Source organism: Homo sapiens, chromosome 1 (genome assembly GCF_000001405.40).
Source record: "Homo sapiens chromosome 1, GRCh38.p14 Primary Assembly".
Lineage (NCBI taxonomy): Eukaryota > Metazoa > Chordata > Mammalia > Primates > Hominidae > Homo > Homo sapiens.
Window position 1 is genome coordinate 171,550,375 of NC_000001.11, and position 25,256 is coordinate 171,575,630.

At 37.7% G+C, this 25,256-nt stretch overlaps 1 protein-coding gene across 18 annotated transcripts in view; it reads left to right on the forward strand.

The window, feature by feature from the left end:
- The window catches only part of PRRC2C (proline rich coiled-coil 2C), a 107,982-nt gene that overhangs the window by 64,845 nt on the left and 17,881 nt on the right, over positions 1-25,256 (forward strand). For all 18 annotated transcript variants that reach the window (XM_005245020.3, XM_005245015.3, XM_005245025.3 and 15 more), the window contains exons 19-25: positions 6,866-7,769; positions 10,644-10,729; positions 15,859-16,047; positions 16,218-16,469; positions 17,873-17,965; positions 20,946-21,047; positions 24,553-24,754. In XM_005245020.3, the coding sequence (XP_005245077.1) occupies positions 6,866-7,769; positions 10,644-10,729; positions 15,859-16,047; positions 16,218-16,469; positions 17,873-17,965; positions 20,946-21,047; positions 24,553-24,754 (1,828 nt within the window). The remainder of the gene's footprint in view (positions 1-6,865; positions 7,770-10,643; positions 10,730-15,858; positions 16,048-16,217; positions 16,470-17,872; positions 17,966-20,945; positions 21,048-24,552; positions 24,755-25,256) is intronic.

Consider the following 25,256-nt stretch of genomic DNA (forward strand, 5'->3'; position numbering starts at 1 on the left):
ACTTTTAATCATTTTGACCAGAATCAAAGGAAATTTTAAATAAAATATAAGGACTGTAGCTCCTTATATTTTGACTTACAGCAAAGACCATCTTTTTTTTTTTTTTTAAATACTGTAAGTTCTAGGGTACATGTGCACAACATGCAGGTTTGTTACATATGTATACATGTGCTATGTTGGTGTGCTGCACCCATTAACTCATCGTTTACACTAGGTATTTCTCCTAATGCTATCCCTCCCCCCTCCCCCCATCCCACAACAGGCCCAGGTGTGTGATGTTCCCTGCCCTGTGTGCAAGTGTTCTCGTTGTTCAGTTCCTACCTATGAGTGAGAACATGAGGTGTTTGGTTTTCTGTCCTTGCAATAGTTTGCTCAGAATGATGGTTTCCAGCTTCATCCATGTCCCTGCAAAGGACATGAACTCATCCTTTTTTATGGCTGCATAGTATTCCATGGTGTATATGTGCCACATTTTCTTAATCCAGTCTATCATTGATGGACATTTGGATTGGTTCCAAGTCTTTGCTATTGTGAATAGTGCCACGATAAATATACGTGTGCATGTGTCTTTATAGTAGCATGATTTATAATCCTTTGGGTATATACCCAGTAATGGGATCGCTGGGGCAAATGGTATGTCTAGTTCTAGATCCTTGAGGAATCACCACACTGTCTTCCACAATGGTTGAACTAGTTTACACTCCCACCAGCAGTGTAAAAGCATTCCTATTTCTCCACGTCCTCTCCAGCACCTGTTGTTTCCTGACTTTTTAATGATTGCCATTCTAACTGGTGTGAGATGGTATCTTATTGTGGTTTTGATTTGCATTTCTCTGACCAGTGATGATGATCATTTTTTCATGTGTCTGCTGGCTGCGTATATGTCTTCTTTTGAAAAGTGTCTGTTCATATCCTTTGCCCACTTTTTGATGGGGTTGTTTGATTTTTTCTTGTAAATTTAAGTTCATTGTAGATTCTGGATATTAGCCCTTTGTCAGATGAGTAGATTGCAAAAATTTTCTCCCATTCTGTAGGTTGCCTGTTCACTCTGATGGTAGTTTCTTTTGCTGTGCAGAAGCTCTTTAGTTTAATTAGATCCCTTTTGTCTGTTTTGGCTTTTGTTGCCATTGCTTTTGGTATTTTAGTCACCAAGTCCTTTCCCATGCCTATATCCTGAATGGTATGGCCTAGGTTTTCTTCTAGGGTTTTTATCGTTTTAGGTCTAACATTTAAGTCTTTAATCCATCTTGAATTAGTTTTTGTATAAGGTGTAAGGAAGGGATCCAGTTTCAGCTTTCTACATATGGCTAGCCAGTTTTCCCAGCACCATTTATTAAATAGGGAATCCTTTCTCCATTTCTTGTTTTTGTCAGGTTTGCCAAAAATCAGATGGTTGTAGATGGGTGGTGTTATTTCTGAGGCCTCTGTTCTGTTCCATTGGTCTGTATCTCTGTTTTGGTACCAGTACCATGCTGTTTTGGTTACTGTAGACTTGTAGTGTAGTTTGAAGTCAGGTAGCATGATGCCTCCAGCTTTGTTCTTTTTGTTTAGGATTATCTTGGCAATGCGGGCTCTTTTTTGGTTCCATATGAACTTTAAAGTAGTTTTTTCCAATTCTGTGAAGAAAGTCATTGGTAGCTTGATGGAGATGGCATTGAATCTGTAAATTACCTTGGGCAGTATGGCCGTTTTTACGATACTGATTCTTTCTATCCATGAGCATGGAATGTTCTTCCATTTGTTTGTGTTCTCTTTTATTTTGTTGAGCAGTGGTTTCTAGTTCTTCTTGAAGAGGTCCTTCACATCCCTTGTAAGTTGGATTCCTAGGTATTTTATTCTCTTTGAAGCAATTGTGAATGGGAGTTCACTCATGATTTGGCTCTCTGTTTGTCTGTTATTGGTGTATAGGAATACTTGTGATTTTTGCACATTGATTTTATATTCTGAGACTTTGCTGAAGTTGTTTATCAGCTTAAGGAGATTTTGGGCTGAGACGATGGGGTTTTCTAAATATACAGTCATGTCATCTGCAAACAGGGACAATTTGACTTCCTCTTTTCCTAATTGAATATCCTTTATTTATTTCTCTTCCCTGATTGCCCTAGCCAGAACTTCCAACACTATGCTGAATAGGAGTGTTAAGAGAGGGCATCCCTGTCTTGTGCCAGTTTTCAAAGAGAATGCTTCCAGTTTTTGCCCATTCAGTGTGATATTGGCTGTGGGTTTGTCATAAGTAGCTCTTATTATTTTGAGACAAGTTCCATTGATACCTAGTTTATTGAGAGTTTTTAGTATGAAGTGCTATTGAATTTTGTCGAAGGCCTTTTCTGCATCTATTGAGATAATCATGTGGTTTTTGTCTTTGGTTCTGTTTATGTGATGGATAATGTTTATTGATTTGCATATGTTGAATCAGCCTTGCATCCTAGGGATGAAGCCAAGTTGATCTTGGTGGATAAGCTTTCTGATGTGCTGCTGGATTTGGTTGACCAGTATTTTATTGAGGATTTTTGCATCAATGTTCATCAGGGATATTGGTCTAAAATTCTCTATTTTCATTGTGTCTGCCAGGTTTTGGTATCAGGATGATGCTGGCCTCATAAAATGAGTTAGGGAGGATTCCCTCTTTTTCTGTTGATTGGAACAGTTTCAGAAGGAATGGTACCGGCTCCTCTTTGTACCTCTGGTAGAATTCAGCTCTGAATCTGTCTGGCCCTGGACTTTTTTTGGTTGGTAGGCTGTTAATTATTGCCTCAATTTCAGAGCCTGTTACTGGTCTATTCAGGGATTCAACTTCTTCCTGGTTTAGTCTTGGGAGGGTGTGTGTGTCGAGGAATTTATCCATTTCTTCTAGATTTTCCAGTTTATGTGCGTAGAGGTGTTTGTAGTATTCTGTGATGGTAGTTTGTATTTCCGTGGGATTGGTGGTGATATCCCCTTTATCAATTTTTATTGCGTCTATTTGATTCTTCTCTCTTTTCTTCTTTATTAGTCTTGCTAGCGGTCTGTCAATTTTATTGATCTTTTCAAAAAACCAGCTCCTAGATTCATTGATTTTTTTTTTTGAAGGGTTTCTTTGTGTCTCTATCTCCTTCAGTTCTGCTCTGATCTTAGTTATTTCTTGCCTTCTGCTAGCTTTTGAATGTGTTTGCTCTTGCTTCTCTAGTTGTTTTAATTGTGATGTTAGGGTATCAATTTCAGATCTTTCCTGCTTTCTCTTTTGGGCACTTAGTGCTATAAATTTCCCTCTACACACTGTTTTAAGTGTGTCCCAGAGATTCTGGTATGTTGTGTCTTTGTTCTCTTTGGTTTCAATGAACATCTTTATTTCTACCTTCATTCTGTTATTTATCCAGTAGTCATTTAGGAGCAGGTTGTTCAGTTTCCATGTAGTTGTGTGGTTTTGAGTGAGTTTCTTAATCCTGAGTTCTAATTTGATTGCACTGTGGTCTGAGAGACAGTTTGTTGTGATTTCTGTTCTTTTACATTTGGTGAGGAGTGCTTACTTCCAACTATTTGGTCAGTTTTGGAATAAGTGTGATGTGATAGTGAGAAGAATGTATATTCTGTTGATTTGGGGTGGAGAGTTCTGTAGATGTCTATTAGGTCTGCTTGTTGCAGAGCTGAGTTCAAGTCCTGGATATCCTTGTTAACCTTCTGTCTCATTGATCTGTCTAATATTGACAATGGGGTGTTAAAGTCTCCCATTAGTATTGTGTGGGAGTCTAAGTCTCTTTGTAGGTCTCTAAGGAGTTGCTTAAATGAATATATATGCTCCTGTATTGGGTGCATATATATTTAGAATAGTTACCTCTTCTTGTTGAATTGATCCCTTTACCGTTATGTAATGGTCTTCTTTGTCTCTTTTGATCTTTGTTGGTTTAAAGTCTGTTTTATCAGAGACTAGGATTGCAACCCCTGCTTTTTTTGTTTTCCATTTGCTTAGTAGATCTTCCTCCATCCCTTTGTTTTGAGCCTATCTCTGTCTCTGTACGTGAGATGGGTCTCCTGAATACAGCACATTGATGAGTCTTGACTCTTTATCCAATTTGCCAGTCTGTGTCTTTTAATTGGGGCATTTAGCCCATTTACATTTAAGGTTAATATTGTTATGTGTGAATTTGATCCTGTCATTATGATGTTAGCTGGTTGTTTTGCCCGTTAATTGATGCAGTTTCTTCCTAGCATTGATGGTCTTTACAATTTGGCATGTTTTTGCAGTGACTAGTACTGGTTCTTGCTTTCCATGTTTAGTGTCAGGAGCTCTTGTAAGGCAGGCCTGGTGTTGACAAAATCTCTCAGCATTTGCTTGTCTGTAAAGGATTTTATTTCTCCTTCACTTACGAAGCTTAGTTTGGCTGCATATGAAATTCTGGGTTGAAAATTCTTTTCTTTAAGAATGTTGAATATTGGCCCCCACTCTCTTCTGGCTTATAGAGTTTCTGCCGAGAGATCAGCTGTTAGTCTGATGGGCTTCCCTTTGAGGGTAACCTGACCTTTCTCTCTGGCTGCGCTTAATATTTTTTCCTTCATTTCAACCTTGGTGAATCTGACAATTATGTGTCTTGGGGTTACTCTTCTCGAGGAGTATCTTTGTGGTGTTCTCCGTGTTTCCTGAATTTGAATGTTAGCCTGCCTTGCTAGGTTGGGGAAGTTCTCCTGGATAATATCCGGAAGAATGTTTTCCAACTTGGTTCCATTCTCCCCGTCACTTTCAGGTACACTAATCAAATGTAGATTTGGTCTTTTCACATAGTCCCATATTTCTTGGAGGCTTTGTTCGTTTCTTTTTACTCTTTTTTCTCTAAACTTCTCTTCTCGCTTCATTTCATTTATTTGATCTTCAGTCACTGATACACTTTCTTCCACTTGATCGAATCGGCTACTGAAGCTTGGGCATGTGTCACGTAGCTCTCGTGCCATGGTTTTCAGCTCCATCAGGTCATTTAAGGTCTTTTCTACACTGTTTATTCTAGTTAGCCATTCGTCTAATCTTTTTTCAAGGTTTTTAGTTTCCTTGTGATGGGTTTGAACGTCCTCCTTTAGCTCAGAGAAGTTTGTTATTACCAACCTTCTGAAGCCTACTTCTATCAACTTGTCAAAGTCATTCTCTGTCTAGCTTTGTTCCGTTGCTGGCGAGGAGCTGTGGTCATTTGGAGGAGAAGAGTTGCTCTGGTTTTTAGAATTTTCACCTTTTCTGCTCTGGTTTCTCCCCAGCTTTGTGGTTTTATTTACCTTTGGTCTTTGATGATGGTGACCTACAGATGGGGTTTTGGTGTGGATGTCCTTTTTGTTGATGTTGATGCTATTCCTTTCTGTTTGTTAGTTTTCCTTCTAACAGCCAGGTCCCTCAGCTGCAGGTCTGTTGGAATTTGCTGGAGGTCCACTGCCTGGGTATCACCAGCAGAGGCTGCAGAACAGCAAATATTGCAGAACAGCAAATATTGCTGCCTGATCCTTCCTCTGGAAGCCTCGGTCTCCCAGTTAGGCTACACAGGGCCAGGGACCCACTTGAGGAGGCAGTCTGTCTCTTCTCAGAGCTCAAACACCGTGCTGGGAGAACCACTGCCCTCTTCAGAGCAGTCAGACAGGGACTTTTAAGTTTGCAGAAGTTTCTGCTGCCTTTTGTTCAGCTATGCCCTGCCCCCAGAGCATACAGAGTCTACAGAGTCAGGCAGGCCTCATTGAACTGCGGTGGGCTCCCCGCAGTTCAAGCTTCCCAGTTGCTTTGTTTACCTACTCAAGCCTCAGCAATGGTGGACACCACTCCCCCAGCCAGGCTGCCACCTTGCAGTTTGATCTCGGACTGCTGCGCTAGCAGTGAGCAAGGCTCTATGGGCGTGGGACCTGCCGAGCCAGGCGTGGGATATAATCTCCTGGTGTGCCGTTTGCTAAGACCGTTGGAAAAGTGCAGTATTAGGGCGGGAGTCCCGATTTTCCAGGTACAGTCTGTCATGACTTCCCTTGGCTAGGAAAGAGAAATCCCCCCACCCCTTGTGCTTCCTGGGTGAGGCAATGCCCTGCCCTGCTTTGGCTCACCCTCCGTGGGCTGCACCCACTGTCCAACCAGTCCCAGTGAGATGAACCAGGTATCTCATTTGGAAGTGCAGAAATCACCCGTCTTCTGCGTCAATCACACTGGGAGCTGCAGACTGGAGCTGTTCCTATTCAGCTGTCTTGGAATGGCAACGACTACTTCCTCAAGACCATCTTTACTTTAACAACATATCGTATGCTAGGGACACCTTATTTGCCCCAAGGCAAAGTTGAGTTGATTTTAAATTATCTTGGAAAGCTAATGAACACAAATATCACGAACCAGTAGATTTTGGATTCCTGGCCTACAAAAGTATCTATTGTAATTTATATTAGTTCATTTAAATACACAGAATGAATCAAGGTAAATTATTCATTTAATTGCCTATAACCTTTGGAACCAAATTTTCAGAAGTCATTTATTTAGAAAGGTAAAATAGTTGTGCATCTACCCTATATCATAACGTACCAGCCACACTGCCCAAATTAATGCCTGTGGCAAATATATGAGTTAAGACTGTGAGTAGCATTTTGTTAGCTCAGGTAAGTTTTGCTGCCAGTGAATTTACTGCAAAATTTCTTAGTTCTTGAATTTCAGAATTATGTACCTGTATGTCAAGAATGTACAATACCTATTTGTCTTTTGTCTCAATATCATTTTGGCTTCTCATCATTCAAAATCTTATTAGCAACCCTGACATTTTGTGGTTTGAGTACCTATTTTGAAAAGTAAAGGAGCCAAGTTAGTGGGAGTTGTTAAAAGTTGCATTTATGAACTGTTGCATTCAGCTGCATTATTGACAAAAATGGTCCCCGTTAATTTTTTAAGGTCTGGAACAAAAAGAATGCAAATGAAAAAGGAAGAAGCCAGACTTCTAAGCTTCCTCCAAGATTTGCCAAAAAACAGGCTACAGGGATCCAGCAAGCACAGTCTTCAGCCTCAGTTCCACCTCTAGCTTCGGCTCCACTTCCACCTTCAACCTCAGCTTCAGTTCCAGCCTCAACCTCAGCTCCACTTCCGGCAACCTTAACTCCAGTTCCAGCCTCAACCTCAGCTCCGGTTCCAGCCTCAACTTTAGCTCCAGTTCTGGCCTCAACCTCAGCTCCAGTTCCAGCCTCACCCTTAGCTCCAGTTTCAGCCTCAGCCTCAGTCTCAGCTTCAGTTCCAGCCTCTACTTCAGCTGCAGCTATAACCTCTTCTTCAGCTCCAGCCTCAGCCCCAGCTCCAACCCCCATCCTTGCCTCAGTTTCAACCCCAGCTTCTGTCACCATTCTTGCCTCAGCCTCAATTCCCATTCTTGCTTCAGCCCTAGCATCAACTTCAGCTCCAACGCCAGCCCCAGCAGCCTCTTCCCCAGCTGCCCCAGTCATCACAGCACCAACTATCCCAGCCTCAGCCCCAACTGCCTCAGTCCCACTTGCCCCTGCCTCAGCTTCAGCCCCAGCCCCAGCCCCTACCCCAGTCTCAGCCCCAAATCCTGCCCCACCTGCCCCAGCCCAGACTCAGGCACAGACCCACAAACCAGTCCAGAATCCACTACAGACTACATCTCAGTCTTCAAAACAACCACCACCATCAATTAGGCTGCCTTCAGCTCAAACACCTAATGGCACAGATTATGTAGCCTCAGGAAAATCCATCCAGACCCCACAGTCACATGGCACTCTGACAGCTGAATTATGGGATAACAAGGTGGCCCCACCAGCTGTGCTGAATGATATCTCTAAGAAATGTAAGTTGCAAAAGAGAAGTGAGGGGTGGGGAATGGCATAGGAATACTGAGGTTTCTTTTCAATTTTATTTATATACTCTTTAAGTGTTTTCTAGCCATCTCATTTTTTATTGTAGGAAAAAGTAATAGTAATCCTCTCAACTTTCTTAAAATTTTTGTTTTAAGCATGTTTAACAAGCATATTATATTTTATGGAAATAATTTTGTGTTGATGAGAAAATAATAGGCAATGTTTGGGGGGGTCTTGTACATGCATATCTCATTTGATTACAGTTTGTGGACACTGCATTTTTAAAAATTAAAAGTTCATGGTAACTGTCAAGCAAGTCTTCTGGTGTCATTTTTCCAACAGCATGTGGTCATTTCATGTTCTGTGTCACATTTTGGTCATTCTTGCAATATGTCAAATTTTTCATCATTTATCTGTTATGGTGGTCAGTTATCTTTGATATTGTAATTGTTTCAGGGTACCATGAACACCCAAATAAGATAGTGAACTTAATTGATAAATGTTTTGTGTGTTCTGACCACTCCATTGACCAGCTGTTCCCTGATATCTACCTCTCCTGGACCTCCCTATTCTTTAAGAACACAACAATGTTGAAATTAGGCCGATTAATAACTCTCTGGTGGCTTCTAAGTGTTCAAGTGGATGGAAGAGTCACGTACGTCTCACTTTAAATCAAAAGCTGGGAACGACTAAGCTTATTGAAGAAGGCATGGTAAAAGCCAAGATAGGTCAAAAGTTAAGTGCTACTTCAGTAATCAACACTAATGATAAGAAAGTAAAACAGTCTTATTGCTGATACAAAGTTATAGTGGTCTGGATAGCAGGTCAATCCAGACACAACATTCCCTTAACCCAAAGCCTAATCCAAAGCAAGTGTTCTATCTCTATTCAATTCTGTGATGCCTGAGAGAGGTGAGGCAGCTGCCAAAGAAAAGTTTGAACCTAGCAGTGGTTGGTTCAGGAAGTTTAAGGAAAGCAACCACCTCTATCACATTAAAGTGCAAGGCAAAGCAGCAAGTTATCCAGAAGATCCAAAACTGAGATAATGGATGAAGGTGGCTACATTAAATAATAAATTTTTAACGTAGATGAAGCAGCCTTCTGTTGGAAGGAGATGCCATCTGGGCCTTTCATGGCTAGAGAGAAGTCAATGCCTGACTTAAAAGGACAGGCTAACTCTCTTGTTAGGGGCTAATGTATCTGATGACTTGAAGCTGAAGCCCCTGCTCATTTACCATGTTTGAAATCCTAGAGCCCTTAAAAATTATGCTAAATCTGTTCTGCCTGTACTCTAGAAATGGAACAACAAAGCCTAGATGACATCACATCTGTTTACAAAATGGCATACCAAGTTTGTTTTTTTTTTTTTTTTTTTTTTTTTTTTTTTGAGACAGTTTCACTCTTGTCACCTAGGCTGGAGTGCAGTGGCTCAATCTCAGCTCACTGCAACCTCCGCCTCCCGGATTCAAGCAATTCCCCTGCCTCAGCCTCCTGAGTATCTGGGACTACAGGCACACGTCACCATGCCTGGCTAATTTTGTATTTTTCATAGAGACGGGGTTTTGCCATGTTGGCCAGGCTGGTCTCGAACCCCTGACTTCAGGTGATCCACCCACCTCGGCCTCCCAAAGTGCTGGGATTACAGGTGTGAGCCACCATGCCTGGCCCATACCTATTATTTTTAAGCCCACTGTTGAGACCTACTGCTCAGGGGGAAAAATGCTCAAAAGCTTTCCTTCAAAATATAAGCTTGTTGACAGGGCACCTAGTCACCCTAGAGTTGTGATGAAGATATACAGGAAGATTTATGTTGTTTTCATGCCTTCCAACATGGCATCCATTCTGCAGCCCATGGATCAAGGAGTATTTTGACTTTCAAGACTTGTTATTTAAGAAATACATTTTCTAAGGCTGCAACCTCCATACACAGTGATTCTTCTGATGGATCTGGGCAAAGAAATTTGAAAACCATGTGGAAAGGATTTACCATTCTAGACTCCTTTAAGAACATTAGTGATTCATGGGAGGATGTCAGAATATCAACATTAACAGGGGTTTGGAAGAAGTTGATTGTAACCCTCATGGATGACTTGGAGGAATTCAAGACATCAGTGGAGGAAATAACTCTGACGCAAAGAAAGTTGTTTTTTGTGATGGAATCTCCTGGTGAAGATGCTGTGGACATTGTTGAAATGACAGCAAAGGATCTAGAATATTACATAAACTTAGTTGATTAAACAATGGGATTTGACTCCAGTTTTGAAAGAAGTTCTACCATATGGGTAAACAGTATCACATGCTACAGAGAATTCATGAAAGGAATAGTCAGTTGATGTTACAGACTTCATTGTTGTCTTATTTTAAGTAACTGCCACAGCCATGCTAGCTTTCAGCAAACACCATCCTAGTCAGTTAGCAGCCATCAACATCTCCACTGGCAAGATTCCACCAGCAAAAAAAGTACAATTCAAAGGCTAAGATGATGATTAGCTTCCTTTTTAGCGGTAGTTTTTTTAAAATTAAAAAGTATACATCTTTTTTAAGACATGATGCTATTACCTATTAGACTGTAGTATAATGTAAACATAACTTTTGATATGCACTTGGAAACCAGAAAATTAGTGTGATTTGCTTTATTGCAATACTTGCTTTATTGCAGTGGTCTGGAACTGAACCCACAATGTTTCTGGGGTATGCCTGTATGTTGATACATAATAATCTTTGTAAGTCTGATTTGAAAAGTGATTGTTTTATTCCCTGGCTAGTAATAGCTACACAGTAGGAGATTAAGGAAAGGGTTAAATGGGTTAGAGATTATTAGACTCTAAATCTTAATCATGTTTTTTATGGCTTCTTCTTTCCAGTAGGTCCCATTAGTCCACCACAGCCACCTTCAGTCAGTGCATGGAATAAGCCCTTAACATCGTTTGGATCAGCTCCTTCATCAGAGGTAAGAATAGGCTTTTAACAGCATAGGTGTGCTGGATTTTCCCTAATACTTCAGTGTGGCCGGGTGTGGTGGCTTACACCTGTAATCCTAGCGTGGTGGGAGGGTTACTTGAGTCCGGGAGTTTGAGACCAGCCTGGGCAACATAGTGAGACCCGCCTGGGCAATGTAGGAAGACCCTGTCTCTACATACAGAATAAAAAATAGCCAGTTGTGGTGGCATGTGCTTGTAGTCTCAGCTACTCTGGAGCTGAGGTTGGACTGTCACTTGAGCCTGGGAGGTCAAGGCTACAGTAAAGTCATAACTGTGCCACTGTACTCCAGCCTAGGTGATAGAGCAAGACCCCACCTGGAAAGCAAAACAATGCTTATAGCATGCCTCAGAATTAACTTGGAGGGCAATTAAAACAGATTGCTGAGCCCCATGTCCATAGTTCATGACTTATTAGGTCTGGGTTGAGGTTTGAATAAATGCTAACAATTTCCCAAGTGATACTCTTGCTGCTACATCTTTACATTTATAAGGTGTGTCTCACTTTTAGACATTAAACACTTATTTTCAATTTAGTCTCAAGAAAGATCTTAATGAAACAGAAAATAAAAGTGCAATTATTGTTTTCTGGACTTTTCTCCCATGTTTCTATCTTGAGGACTTAAGTAGTATAAGTATTTAGAAACTGTTTATAGCAGATAGTTATTCTAACATAATTTCTCAAATGTGATATTGGTAAATGACTGTTGGGGGTCAGTGATTCTTCATTCATTCATTGAATGAACATTTACTAAGCACTCACAGTATTCTAGGTAGTGTTCTAACCTGCGGGCTTACAAAACTGGGACTAAAAACAGTCAAAAAGCCCTACTGTCATGGGACTTCCATTGTCCTGTGAGGAGAAACCACTAATAAAAAAACATCGTGATCAGCACTGTGGAGAAAAACGAAGCAGGAAAGGTACATAAGGAATTTTCCAAGGTTCACAAAGACAGTTTAATATAGGGTGACCACGAAAGCCTACTTAGATAATGCTTGAGTTAAAGACTTGAAGGATATAAGAGAGTATGCTATTCAAATGTCTGAGGAAAAGAGATTCCAGGTTCAGATAATAGCAAATATGAATGCCATGAGACAGGAGCACACTTGGTTTGTTTGAGGAAGTTCAGGGAAGTCCATGTAGCTGGAATGAAGTAAGAGATGGAAAGAGAATAGATGAAGTTGGAAGTCACACCTGAGTAGCAGGTGGATCCTGTAGGGCCTATGGAAGAGGTGGGAAGACACTGAAGGGTTTTGAGCAAGGAGCAACAGGATCTGACTTTTCAAATTATTCTGGGTTGTCTGTGAAAAATAATTCATAGGTGGCAAGAGTAGAAGTTACGATATTACAATAATTGAATGATGATAGCTTAAAACCTGGGAAGTGGCATGAAAGGTCATGAGAAATAGTTGGTTTCTGAGTATTTTGAAGATTGAGCTGACAAGATTTACTAAAGTGTTAAATGGAGTATGAGAAGGGACAGAGGAGTCAAAGTTAGCTCCAAAGTTTTTGGGTTGAACAGTAGGAAATACTAGAATTTTCAGTAACTGAGATTGGACAGTTTTTGACATGTTAGATTTAAGATGCTTATTATGCCTCTGAGTGGAAATGTAGTTGGATATGAGTCTGTAGTTCAGAAGAGTTCATCTAGTTTGAAGATAATGAATTTGAAGTCATTAGCATATAGATGATGTTTAAAGTGATGGAATGGTATAAGGTTACCAAGGGAGAATGAGAGTAGTTAGGAAAGAGAATCAAAAATTAAGTCTTGGGGCTTTCTGACTCCAGGAAATGTAGGAATTAGAGAAGCTAAGTGATTAGAGAAGTATCCTAAAAGTCAAGTGAAAGATAAGTTCAAAGAAGGGATAGATTAAGTGTGTCAGATGGCTGCTGGTAGGTCAAGTAATATAGGTGTTCAATTGATAGAGTTACATGATGGTCACTGATGACTTTGATAAGAACATTATTGGTGGAGTAGTAGGGATGAAAGCCTGGATGAAAGAGTGAGTTTAAGAGGAAATGAAAGGAAAGATGAGTACCATTTTCTCTCCACATCTGTAGAGATTGGTTCTCACCACCATAGAAACCAAAACCCAGGGATGCTCAAGTCTCATATAAAATGAAGCAGTATTTGCATGTAACCTATGCATAACCTCCCTGTGTACTTTAAATCATCTCTAGATTAATTATATACCTAATACAATGTAAATGCTATGTAAATTGTTGTTATACCATATTATTTAGGGAATAATGACAAGAAAGAACAGTCTGTTCTTGTATAGCACTGACAACCATTTATAATTTTTTTCTGAATATTTTCCATCCATACTGGGTTGAATCTACAGATGTGGAACCTGCAAATAAGGAGAGCCAACTGTATAAAGAACTTGAACGTCATTTTGCTATAAAGGAGTACAGAAAAAAATGGGGCAGTAAAGAAGATATAGTTGAGATTTTAATTTTTGTATAGCCTATAGGTGCTAAAAGATTTTTTTTTCTTTAAAGAAGTCTTCCTGCTACTTCTGTCTCCACTCCAGTTTTCTGACTTAGTAGGTCTAGAGTAGGCTTCATCATCTGTTTTGATGTTACAGATTCTTCAGAGAACTCTAAAACTCAAGAGTCACTGCATTCAATATTTAAGAGTCTCAGTTTAATAATTTTTCCTTTGCCTGTTGGTATTAGCATCATGATTAGTCATAGAGAGCATTTCAGGATTTTTCATGCTGGTATGAAGGAAAGAGTGGAAGTTTGTTTCCCAACCACAAGATTTTTCTTGCAGGCATTCTACAAGTTTACAGTGATAAATGGGTGTTTACGCTTACCTTCAGTCAGTGGTGGAGCAAGATATTTTATTGGTGTCTCATTTTTCTCTCATACCTTTTTCTTCATTGTCTTTGTGTTCTTTATGTTTTCTGGATGGAAGATGATTTTTTGTGAATGTCATACATTATTTTGGAGTTTTTCCTCATGAAGAAATTTTGTATTAGCAAAGTTGACATTTCATAGGATGGAAAGAATTCCCTAATGGACTTTTTCTTAGATTATTCTAGTGAAATAGAACTCTTAATGATTATTTTACTTAAAGTTATCAACGTTAGTTACACCAACTAGCCTTACAAAGACTTGATATTATAATATTGTCTAAGCTTTTATCATTCTTTGTGTTATGTATATTTCATAAACACTTTCATTTCAAAGGATATAACATTCTCTAACAGTCATTAACTTGACAGTTATTTTTCTACTCATTTAAATATGTACAAGTTCTTAACATTTTTGTATATACAGTTAATAGCCTTCACAGTCTACTTACTGCATTATTTTCTTTTCTAATACTACTGTACACTTACATTTAACTGACTGTAGAATTTCAACATTGACTAAAGCAAAGAAATTTTTATTCTAATGTGCATCAGTATTTTCCAATACATTCATGCTTTGCTTAACAACAGAGATACGTCCTGAGAAATGGGTCATTGTGTGAACATCATAGAGTCTACTTACACAAACCTAGATGGTATAGCCTATGGCTTCTAGGCTACAAACCTATACAGCTTATTACTACACTGAATACCGTAGGCAGTTGTAACACAATGATAAGTATTTGTGTTTCTAAGCATAGAAAAGGTACAGTAAAAATACGATATTATAATTTTATGGAACCACCCTTGTATATGTGGTCCATCATTGGCTAAACATCACCATTATATGGCACATGACTGTATTTGAAGGTGACTATTTAAATATTAAAAGTAAATCTGAATTGCATGCGTTGTTCATACTCTTGACATTATATCCGGGTAGATATAACATTAACCTTATGTAGTAATTGACCATGCTAGGTTTAGGAATGCCAAAAATGACATGGAGTAGTGATTCAATTATTAAAACAAGCTTTAGTTGAATTTTGACCCTAGTTTTGCTTTTTATGTTTGTCTTTTCATGAAAAGATTAATTGTTGTAACAAAGCCCTAGGTCACCTAATCTGCTTGTCTGTTTCTACAACTGTTCCCCATACCTGCTATGCTTCAGCCTCACTGACCTTTTTTTGTTCTTGACCTTTACCCTAGGTATGTGGTCTCCCTAAACTCTTTCCACTGATCTTGTCTTCTAGATTCAATGTCAGTGTGTCCTCCTCAGGGGCTTTCTCTGTCTACCAGTCTAGTAGCTGGTCTCTTAACCCTATTTTGCTTTTGCAGATTCCTTATCTGACTTTTCAGTTCTTTATTTGCTTCACCTGCTAGAATGCAAATTGTGCAATTAGACTGATTAGCACATCTGATTAGCACAAAGAAGATGCTCAACAAATTAGCTGGGTTGGTTTGTTTGTTTTTGAGACAGGTCTCGCTTTGTCACCCAGGCTGGAGTGCAGTGGCGCAACCTAGGCTCACTGCAACGTCCACCTCCCGGGTTCAAGCGATTCTCCTGCATCAGCCTCCTGAGTAGCTGCGATTACAGGCACATGCCACCAAGCCCTGCTAGTTTTTGTATTTTTAGTAGAGACAGAGTTTCACCATGTTGGTCAGGCTGGTCTCAAACTCCTGACCTCATCATCCGCCCACCTAGGCCTCCCAGAGTGCTGGGATTACAGGCATGAGCCACCATACCCGGCCCAAATTAACTGTTTAATTGGTGGATTGATTGCTTAGATGTTTGCTCTATGTTACCAATCACAAAGTTTTTATTATATTTCTTAAATTTCATTTTCAAAGCAGACTTCTGAGAAGCAGGTGACACTTATTACTGTCTTTTATTTCCAGTGTATTCATCTGTTTGTTGGTAGTGGTGTCTTTGTGTGTTGCTTTTACGTTTGTTTTAAATGAGGAAACAACTTGAAGCTGTGCTTTGCCCATGATCACACTCATGAGAGCCAGGACTTTAAAAACTTAAGTCTTGTGCTAGTTTCATCTTATCAGTTGTTTTCTAGTACAGACAAACAACAGTTAAGAGAAAATTATCCTAAAATATAATTAATGTCGGTCTCAGTTAATATGTAGATTGTCTTAAACCTTCTATTGTACTTAAACTGTATAGTGCTTCATAAATCAGTCACATCTGAACTATACTTTGCAAGCAAGTTTTAAAATATTCTTTTACTAGGGAGCGAAGAATGGTCAAGAAAGTGGACTCGAAATTGGAACTGACACAATTCAGTTTGGTGCTCCAGCCTCAAATGGAAATGAAAATGAAGTTGTTCCTGTGCTTTCGGAAAAATCTGCTGACAAAATACCTGAACCTAAAGAACAGCGGCAGAAGCAGCCACGAGCAGGACCTATCAAAGCCCAGAAGGTAAATATACTTTATAATCCAGATAAAATTTTATGAAGGCCACTGACATGAAGAGCAAATAATACTTTTAAAAGTGAACTTAATTTTAATGAATATCTTTGATCATGGTGCAATGATGAAAGATACTCATCTATCATAAACATAGTTTTATCATAAACATTTGACTTTAGCTTCCAGATTTGAGTCCAGTAGAAAACAAAGAACACAAACCTGGTCCCATTGGAAAGGAACGTTCATTAAAAAATAGAAAAGTAAAAGATGCCCAACAGGTGGAGCCAGAAGGACAAGAGAAACCAAGCCCAGCTACAGTCAGAAGCACAGATCCTGTCACGACAAAGGAGACTAAAGCAGTCTCAGAAATGTCTACTGAAATAGGAACAATGATCTCGGTATCATCTGCAGAATATGGTACTAATGCAAAGGTAAGCCACATGTAGGGATTACCAGTTCAACAGATGCAAGCCATGTCTAAAATGAACGAGAAGAACAGCAACAGTCTGCTTTTTTTTTTCCTGCTGAGGCATATAACTCTATAGATTATTTCCGCAAAGAAGATTTTGTTTCATGATTTGCATATGTAATCTAAAGAAGTTCTTTATAGCAAATTATATTTCTTTTTGAGGAAATTTACTCTGAATTCTGGACTATTTGAGTAGCTTAAAGTGAAAAACATCTATACAAAATCTGAATACTTTGAAAGATGGCTCTATATCACTTTTAATATAAATAGAATTACAGTAGAGCTTTATCTTGCCCACTGGTGACATTCTAAAGTCAGGAAATAAGGCAGACTTTTACTAACTCCAGTATAGCCAGTTTTTTTTCATAGTTGGAACAGATTACTGTTTCTTTGGTTGAACACTGGAGGCTGTTGACTCACATTTAGGGGCCACATTGAATGAAACGTGTATCTAAAAATGCTCATTAAGACAAGATATGTTGATTGACCATGGGAACAGACACTCATGGGAATAGCAAACATATCTGCGATTTTATATTGACTCTGGGACATAAACTCTGAGAAAAAGTTACATGCAATTTTTTATATTATCTGAATATTAGTCTCTTTTTAATTGCCATACAGCTGAATTCATATAAGTAATAGCTTATGTGGTCCTACTCTGCCATATTTCAAAATGAGATTTGTGACAGGAAACAAGGAGTGTACCCTAAAACCTGAGTAATTGCAACAACTAAGATCTTGGTAATTGATAGTAAGCTAAGAATGAATGTGGGAAACACACAAAAGATTCTTTTAATAACCTACAGAAATAAATATTTGGTACTGTTGACAGTCTCCTAGTACTAAATGTACAAGAATGCAGTAGTAGTTGAAATGCTATCATTTTGATCGTGAGTCCATGTTGTATTATTCCATTGTTAGTTGATTGAGTGAGTTGAGTCTTAAAGTCTGCTCTCTTCCCCTGCTTTCTTCCAGAACAACTTTACAACTATTAGGCTATCATTAGAAAGTGAGCAATTTGGCCAGGCGTGGTGGCTCATGCCAGTAATCTCAGCACTTTGGTGGGCTGAGGCAGGCAGATCACTTAAGGCCAGGAGTTCGAGACCAGCCTGGCCAACATGGTGAAACCCCATCTCTACTAAAAATACAAAAATTAATGTCATGGTGGCGCACGCCTGTAATCCCAGCTACTTCAGTGACTCAGGCACAAGAATCACTTGAGCCTGGAAGGCAGAGGTTGCAGTGAGCTGAGATCATGCCACTGCACTCCAGCCTGCATGATAGCGAGACTCAAAAAAAAGAGGAAGAAGTGAGCAATTAATTCAGTTTAAAATGTATTTTTTTTCTATTACTACTTCACAGGAGTCTGTAACAGACTATACTACACCCTCTTCTTCTTTGCCTAACACCGTGGCTACTAATAATACAAAGATGGAGGATACTTTGGTTAATAATGTAAGTAATCAGTTTGAGATGTGGCAAGTTTGGATTGGAACCTGGCTATTATTATCAAGCACATTATTTCATGTTTTATTTACTGTAGTGATCAATATTTAACTCAGGGAAAGAGTTGATAGTAAATTTGTGTTTAGGAGTACTGTAATATAATTAGCAAAAATAGTCAAAGCTGAGTTTTTTATTTTTCCTCTGAAAGCCATCTGCTTTCCATTTAAGATGAAGGTTTGTGGTGCGTAGGCTTGGTTTCGTGTAAATACTAATCTTATTAACCTGGTATTGGTAAGAAGTTGTTTTAGCTCTCACATTTACAAATTTAACATGAACGGTTGGTGATTTTGTTCTTACATAAAACCTTTTTATAATTCAGTGAAACCCAACTTATTTAAGATAACTAAAATTAGAATTAAAAGACAACTATAGAATTCCCAAAGAATCAAGTATGTCTTTAAAAAAGAAAAAATACCAGCGTGTTAACAACATTCTTGTTGTGTAGATTGAGCTATATTGTATTGTATACATAAGTACGCCAAACACTCTGATATGCTCTAATATAAGGTGATGTTAAGTCATGTTGTAACTTAGGACCTAGTTTTCCAGAGCAACCATGTTACTAATATAATTCAAGGTTGTGTTAAAAGTCTGTACAGTTCATCATTTTGCTTAGCTCACTGTCTGATAGATGAAAAATTGTTAGCCCAGAAACATTAGGTAGCTTGCCATAGTTATACAGTGTCATTTATTTAGAAGAACATTTTAAAAGTTACTTGCATGGTCCTTATTTTGGAGAGAGGTATGATGGAAATTTGGTTAGTGCTCTCTGTTTTAAATATAGCCTTCTGTAATAAGTAAAGGCTATCAGACTAAAATGTTGATCATCCTTTTTTTAAAAAAATCCTTTACAGATAAATATTTAAAGGTCTGTCACAAAGAGCTTTAACTATCATTTTGAGTTATAAAAATCTTTATTATCTTCTTACTTTTTTTCTATGCTTTCTATTCTTCCCTCTAGCATCAAGTATATGGAATTTTAGAAAGGTGAGCTGCATTAGGGGTCACTTAATCCAATTTTTGTAGTTCAGCTGAAGGACTGTACTAAATATGTAGCTGAGAAAAGGAATAGAAAGGAGTGAGTCACATATTTTTTCTTGGTGTTGAGAGCTCTCTAGGAGCTGATTAATGTGATTTGTTCAACTTTCCTCCCACCCACCCCCCACTTTTATGAAAGTGGTTTAAATATATATATATATATATGGTTTTTTTTTTCTTTTTTTAACTCCTTATACCTCCTGTGAAAAATAATGGAAGACTTGGGAAGGAGGAAAAGACTTCCTTTCAGTTTAAGTGCTGTGATATCACTGTCTAGATTATGAAATATTCAATCAGTAAGATCTCAATAAAGTTTAATTATACTTTGTGTCTTTTCTCATTTTTAAAAAATACAGAATATTTCTACGATAGTGGTTTTTAAAGTATATGATGCTTTTTGCGAAACTACCCTCTGAAAATATGATTTATAAAATATATAAAATAAGGAAGAAAAAATTATTATTCTCAGAACCCTTAAAATTCATTGAAAATATCCAGATGAGCATTTTGATGGTTTCTGTGTGATCTGTAAGGCTAATTAATGGAGCGACTTATATACTGGTAACTACTGGAGACAACAGACCCAGCCTCATATATAGGTGAATAGTCTGCATGCAGTTGTTAGCAGTGTAGCCAGGGTATGTTTGAAAGCAGAAAGATCAGTTTGGGTTAGGGAGCATTATAAATGGTCATCAGTTTGAAAGGATTTCATGGTGTTGCTTACTTGTGCCAAGTGTGTTGGTGATTCTGAACTCAATGTAGAGTTAAAAACGAATGTCCTTCATGGGAAAAAATTTAGGACCTCTTGAGATGTCCTTTTTTCTTTCACTTGTCTGTTTGGGGGTTCCATTTTGCACATAGAACTTTTGTCTTTCTTAATTATACTTGAAAATGGCTTATTTCTCTTATTGGGGCTTAATACACTTTTTTATGGTCTTAACTGATACATGTTGGTTAGTATTACTCAGTAGTACAATCATCTTGTATCTTGAATGTCTTGAAGATTAAATGCAGGTGGCCTTTTGGATTATCATAGCACAGCTGCTTTCAACATGTATGAAAGAATCTCCATTAGGTAGTCCATAGTATCACAAAGTGATTATCTTAAAACTCTCAAGCATCCCAGTTATTTTTCCTGAACAACTGAACGAACCATCCAAAACGTAATACATAATAAAGTCCCAAGATCCAGAGATAAAGGCAGTGAGTTTCTAATATCTTAAAGTTTCTAACAATATTTGCCATAATTATTACTATAGCAGAACAGTTTTATTGTAATGAGATGGTGCTAACAGTCCATACTTTCTTCCCAAGATTACTTTTGTTCTTGAATCTTGTTATAAAAGTTAACCATATTGCAGGAAAGAGATTAATTTTTTATATTTTTGCTGTCATGTTAAATACTTCTGGTGGAACCTGTAGATATATGGTGAAGGTTTTATTCCTTAGAGCTTTGCTACACAGTATGCAGCCTGTAGACCAGCACCATCAGCATCACCTGGCAACTTGTTTGAAACCCAGCATTTCAGGCCTTAACATAGACCAATTGAATCAAAATCTGCTTTTTATCAGCATCCTCAGGTGATTTATGTACATATTAAAATATGAGAAGCACTGCCTTCTGAGTATACACCTTATATCTGGTGCAGACTCTCTTTCTGCCAACTTAACGTATAAAAAGGCAGATAATAATTTCCCTTCAGAAGTTTTATCTGAGGTATCCTTAATTACCAACTACTATAAACACAATGTGACTCTTAAGTAATCACATATTTCTGTTAGCTCTGATGAAAAATAAACACTACCCTTAGAACACCTTAGCATTGTCTTTAATGGGGCTTTCGTAGTAGACACATAGTTAGATTGTGATATGTGTTGCCTACCTTTTCAGGTGCCCCTGCCCAACACCCTTCCCCTCCCTAAGAGGGAGACTATACAACAGAGCTCCAGCCTAACTTCAGTTCCTCCCACTACTTTCAGCCTCACCTTCAAGGTATGTACAACATCCATCTCTAAGAGTCCTTAATTGTTGCATGCAAGGGGACATAAGTTAACAATATTCGTGGGGTATTTTTACTAGATTTATGTGGTAAGCAACAATACTAAGCTGAGGAAATAGAGTGCTGTCAAATTATACCTTACAGTTTTATTAGCTTCTGATACCACTAAGTGGTGACGTGATATCCTCATATTTAAAGTGAGGCCTATTATGCTTGTGAATTTTGTCTTAAAAATACAGGAGAGTATTTTTCCATGTTTGTGTTAAGTTCCTCCCAGAGATCTTAATAATTTTTGGATATATGGGTTTGTATACAAAAAATAAAATCTTAATTATTTCATGTTTTTATGATTGTTACCAAAATATTAAGTACTGATAATAGTAAGAATGTTGTTTGTCTTCCCTGTAAGTTATGTGTGAATTGAATGAACACTGTATGATTATTTTATGGGAAGATAATTGACAAGTATGCTTTATAGATGATGTCAGAAGATTTTCAGTTGATTTTTTTTGGATAATTATTTAATAAGAGGACAAAAGAGATTCAGCGCTTTTTGATGTCAAAATGTTTTGGCCTTTTTTTTTAATCTATTATAATTTTGAGCTATGTTAATGATTTTTTACAGTTGTGTTGTTTGAGAGTATTTTAAATCAGTTCGTCTTTGGAGTAGTCAGTAGTTTAAAAAAGTGCAAACATGGAATTAAAGGAGGTTTTTTTTAATTTAAAAAAAAATTTTTTTTAAATAGAGATGGGGTTTTGCCATGTTGCCCAGGTTGGTTTTGAACTCTGGGCTCCAGCGATCCACCTGCCTCAGCCTCCCAAAGTATTGGAATTACAGGTGGGAACCACCACACCTGGCCAAGGGAAGATTTTTTTTAAGTCTATTTATCTCATTGATGTTCTTTGTTCATAATCCAGGGAAGTTCTTAATCTCTAATATAGTAGGGCTTCCTGATGTTGCACTGGTTGACAATCTCTTTGATGATCTTCAGTTGGGGTCACAGGAACTTTGTTGTTCTACAGTGTGGCCAATATTCATTTTGGACTCATATTACTTTTGTCCCCTTATCTTTTCCCCTGTCTGCCCAACTTCTTTGTAAGAGGCTTAACAAATATAAGTTTGAGATCATAAAATTTTATAAGACAACAGCTTCTGCTTTGTGCCATCCCTGTCTTTGCCTAGTCTTTACTGCCAATTCCTGTTCAGCCTTTTCTGTTGTCTTTTGGCTTGAATGACTGTCTTAATCTGTGTTCCTTACTTAGTCTTACTTTTATGGTTTTTATCATTATACTAGCAAGGTAAATAATCTAATTTCACATAAGCAAATATAATGTCATCTTTAATTATTTTTAAGCCAGTATTTATTTCTTTAGAATACCTATTCAACTTTGCCTTTCACTCATGTTTTTAACATTCCAAGAAGAAATATACACATTGAGAATTAAATTTAAGTCAAATTACATTAGCTTAAAACCTCTGATTTCTTTATTTTTACTTCCTCTGCCATCTCCTTTTTGTTGGAGTAATACATAAAGCATAGAAAAGTTATATTACACAGTAAATTCTTACTTATTATCAGTGGGTTCATGAAAACTGCAACTTTAAGCAAAACTGTATGATGGATCCATAGAATAGCATCATTTGGTTCAGTGCCACTTGTTCTAAAGTGTATGAGAAAAAATATTGATTATACATTGTTGGGCTTAGTCACAGTTTCCAAGAACCTATTGACGACATTAAGTTTTTATGGACATCATTGACAAAATATGAAAAAAATGAGTATGATTAACTAATTGTACTTTTAGTTTCACTGAATTTCCGAAAATAAAAACTTCAAATTATCTTTCTGCTTAAGGAATGGAATCAAGTCAAACTTGTGGCCTGTATGTTATGTAAGTTTGATTAGCTATAACTTAATTTATATGTTCCCAGTAAAACAAAATTGGCATAAAAGACATTGTACTCTGTCAACTTGCCGTAAACCACAAAATCTCAGATGGTACAGGTAAATTATATTCTAGCTTACTTCCTAAATTCCCCCAAGACTTCTATTTTAAAATAAAACACATTTGAAATCAACCAAGTGATTTTGAGAAAAAGAAAAGATTTCAGATTTTTCTCAAATATAAAAGTTCTGTATTTTAAATATCTAATGATAACAATTAGTCTTAAGAAAAGGTTAAATTATGAATAGTGTGTTTTTAAAGGAAGGCAGGGTAAAATATGTACTATGTCTCAAAATTCTTTTTTTTTTTTTTTTTTTTTTTGAGTTGGAGCCTCGTTCTGTCGCCCAGGCTGGAGTGCAGTGGCGCTATCTCGGCTCACTGCAACCTCTGCCTCCCGGGTTCACGCAATTCTCCTGCCTCAGCCTCCCGAGTAGCTGGATTTACAGGCGCACACCACGCCCGGCTAAATTTTTTTGTATTTTTAGTAGAGACAGGGTTTCACTATGTTGGCCAGACTGGTCTCGAACTTCTGACCTCGTGATCCGCCTGCCTCAGCCTCTCAAAGTGCTGGGATTACAGGGGTGAGCCACCGCACCCGGCCTCTATTTCTCAAAATTCTTATAACCAAAATAAAATTTTAGAAATTGATACTTTAAGGACTCACAAAGTTCCTAACAGTGATATTAAATATGTTACTTGAAAAAGTTCCTCTCTCATAAGTCATTGCAGCTGGATCTTATAGATTATGTTGGATGTATACTGCATATGAAATTTTAATATTAAAAAAACTTATAAAATATCAATTTATGTTCATTAGTGTTTTAGTTATAATATTATAAATATTGGGTTGAATTAAATGTTTTCAAAATAAATATATAATCTATTTGTATTTACTTTTTAAAATGTAGCTACTAGAAAATTTAAAATTACATATTTGATTTGCATTTAGATATGTATCTGTTGAAAACTACTGAATAGTGCTGCTCTAGATTGAAATAAGGCCATTTTCTGCCATTTAAGAAACTAGGAGAAGAAAATACAGCTGAAACCAGGGGTCATAAATGCAAATGGTTACATCTGGTGGTACATGAAATGCTTGAGATCTGGATGTGAAACAAAAGCATTTCTATTGCACCCAAGCCTAAAACCTATCTTGTTACCTTGCCTTTTAAAACACTGTGAGCATGAAGCAGCCAACCAAAAGATGCCTGCCATTTGCCATTTAAGAAGCATTGGAGTAAAAAGAAAGAATGGAGAGAATGGATATTTACTGGGGGAAGGCCTTTCCTTATTCACTGGTAGGGATAAGGGCTCATGTTTAAATGATACACTCTCACACTCCCAATTTGAGTAATGGAGCAAAGATAAAGAGGCAAATGGAAAGTCTGAAATCCCTAGGGTCTTAGGGTCTTAGATTTTCTTTAAATATCTTTGTGTGTGTGTGGTTTTTGAAAGATTATATTTGGCACTTAAATACTGATACATGTATATACATACGTATATTCTGTATTAACATCATTTTTTTACTATAAAATGTCCGTTTTATTGCAGATGGAGTCTGCACGCAAAGCATGGGAGAATTCTCCAAATGTAAGGGAAAAGGGGTCTCCAGTAACTTCCACAGCACCTCCAATTGCAACTGGAGTCAGCAGTAGTGCCAGTGGACCAAGCACTGCTAATTACAATTCGTTCTCAAGTGCATCCATGCCCCAGATTCCTGTTGCTTCAGTCACTCCTACAGCATCACTATCAGGTAGAACTTTTTCGTTCTGTTTCTTTAAATATCTTACATTATTTAAAATTTTTTATGATCTCTTCTTGTTTACTATCTCTAGCCCTCCGAAAATAGTAATATTCAATCTTCCCACCTCAGCCTCCCAAAGTGCTGGGATTACAGGCATGAGCCACCACATGTGGCCAGTAATTGCTTTTTAAAATGTCATTTTCCTCTAAATTTTTCTAGGAAGTTCACCTTTTGATTGTCATTTTTTATGTATGTACAACTAACTAGATCAGCTCAAAAAGAACAGAGAATCACACCTCTTTTAAATGTTTGACAATCTGTATCTAATTTGAAGGTGCTGTTGGCCTAAACCTGTTGGGATAACGTATTTTCTGGTAAAGACTTAGGGATGGAGAATTTTCAGCCTCTGCTATTTGAGTGATGTAATTCATTGGATTTGGCTTTAGTTTGGTTTGGATTTTGTTTTATTTTGTTTTTTAGGAGAGTCCTTTGGTGCCCAAAGTTAGAAGGT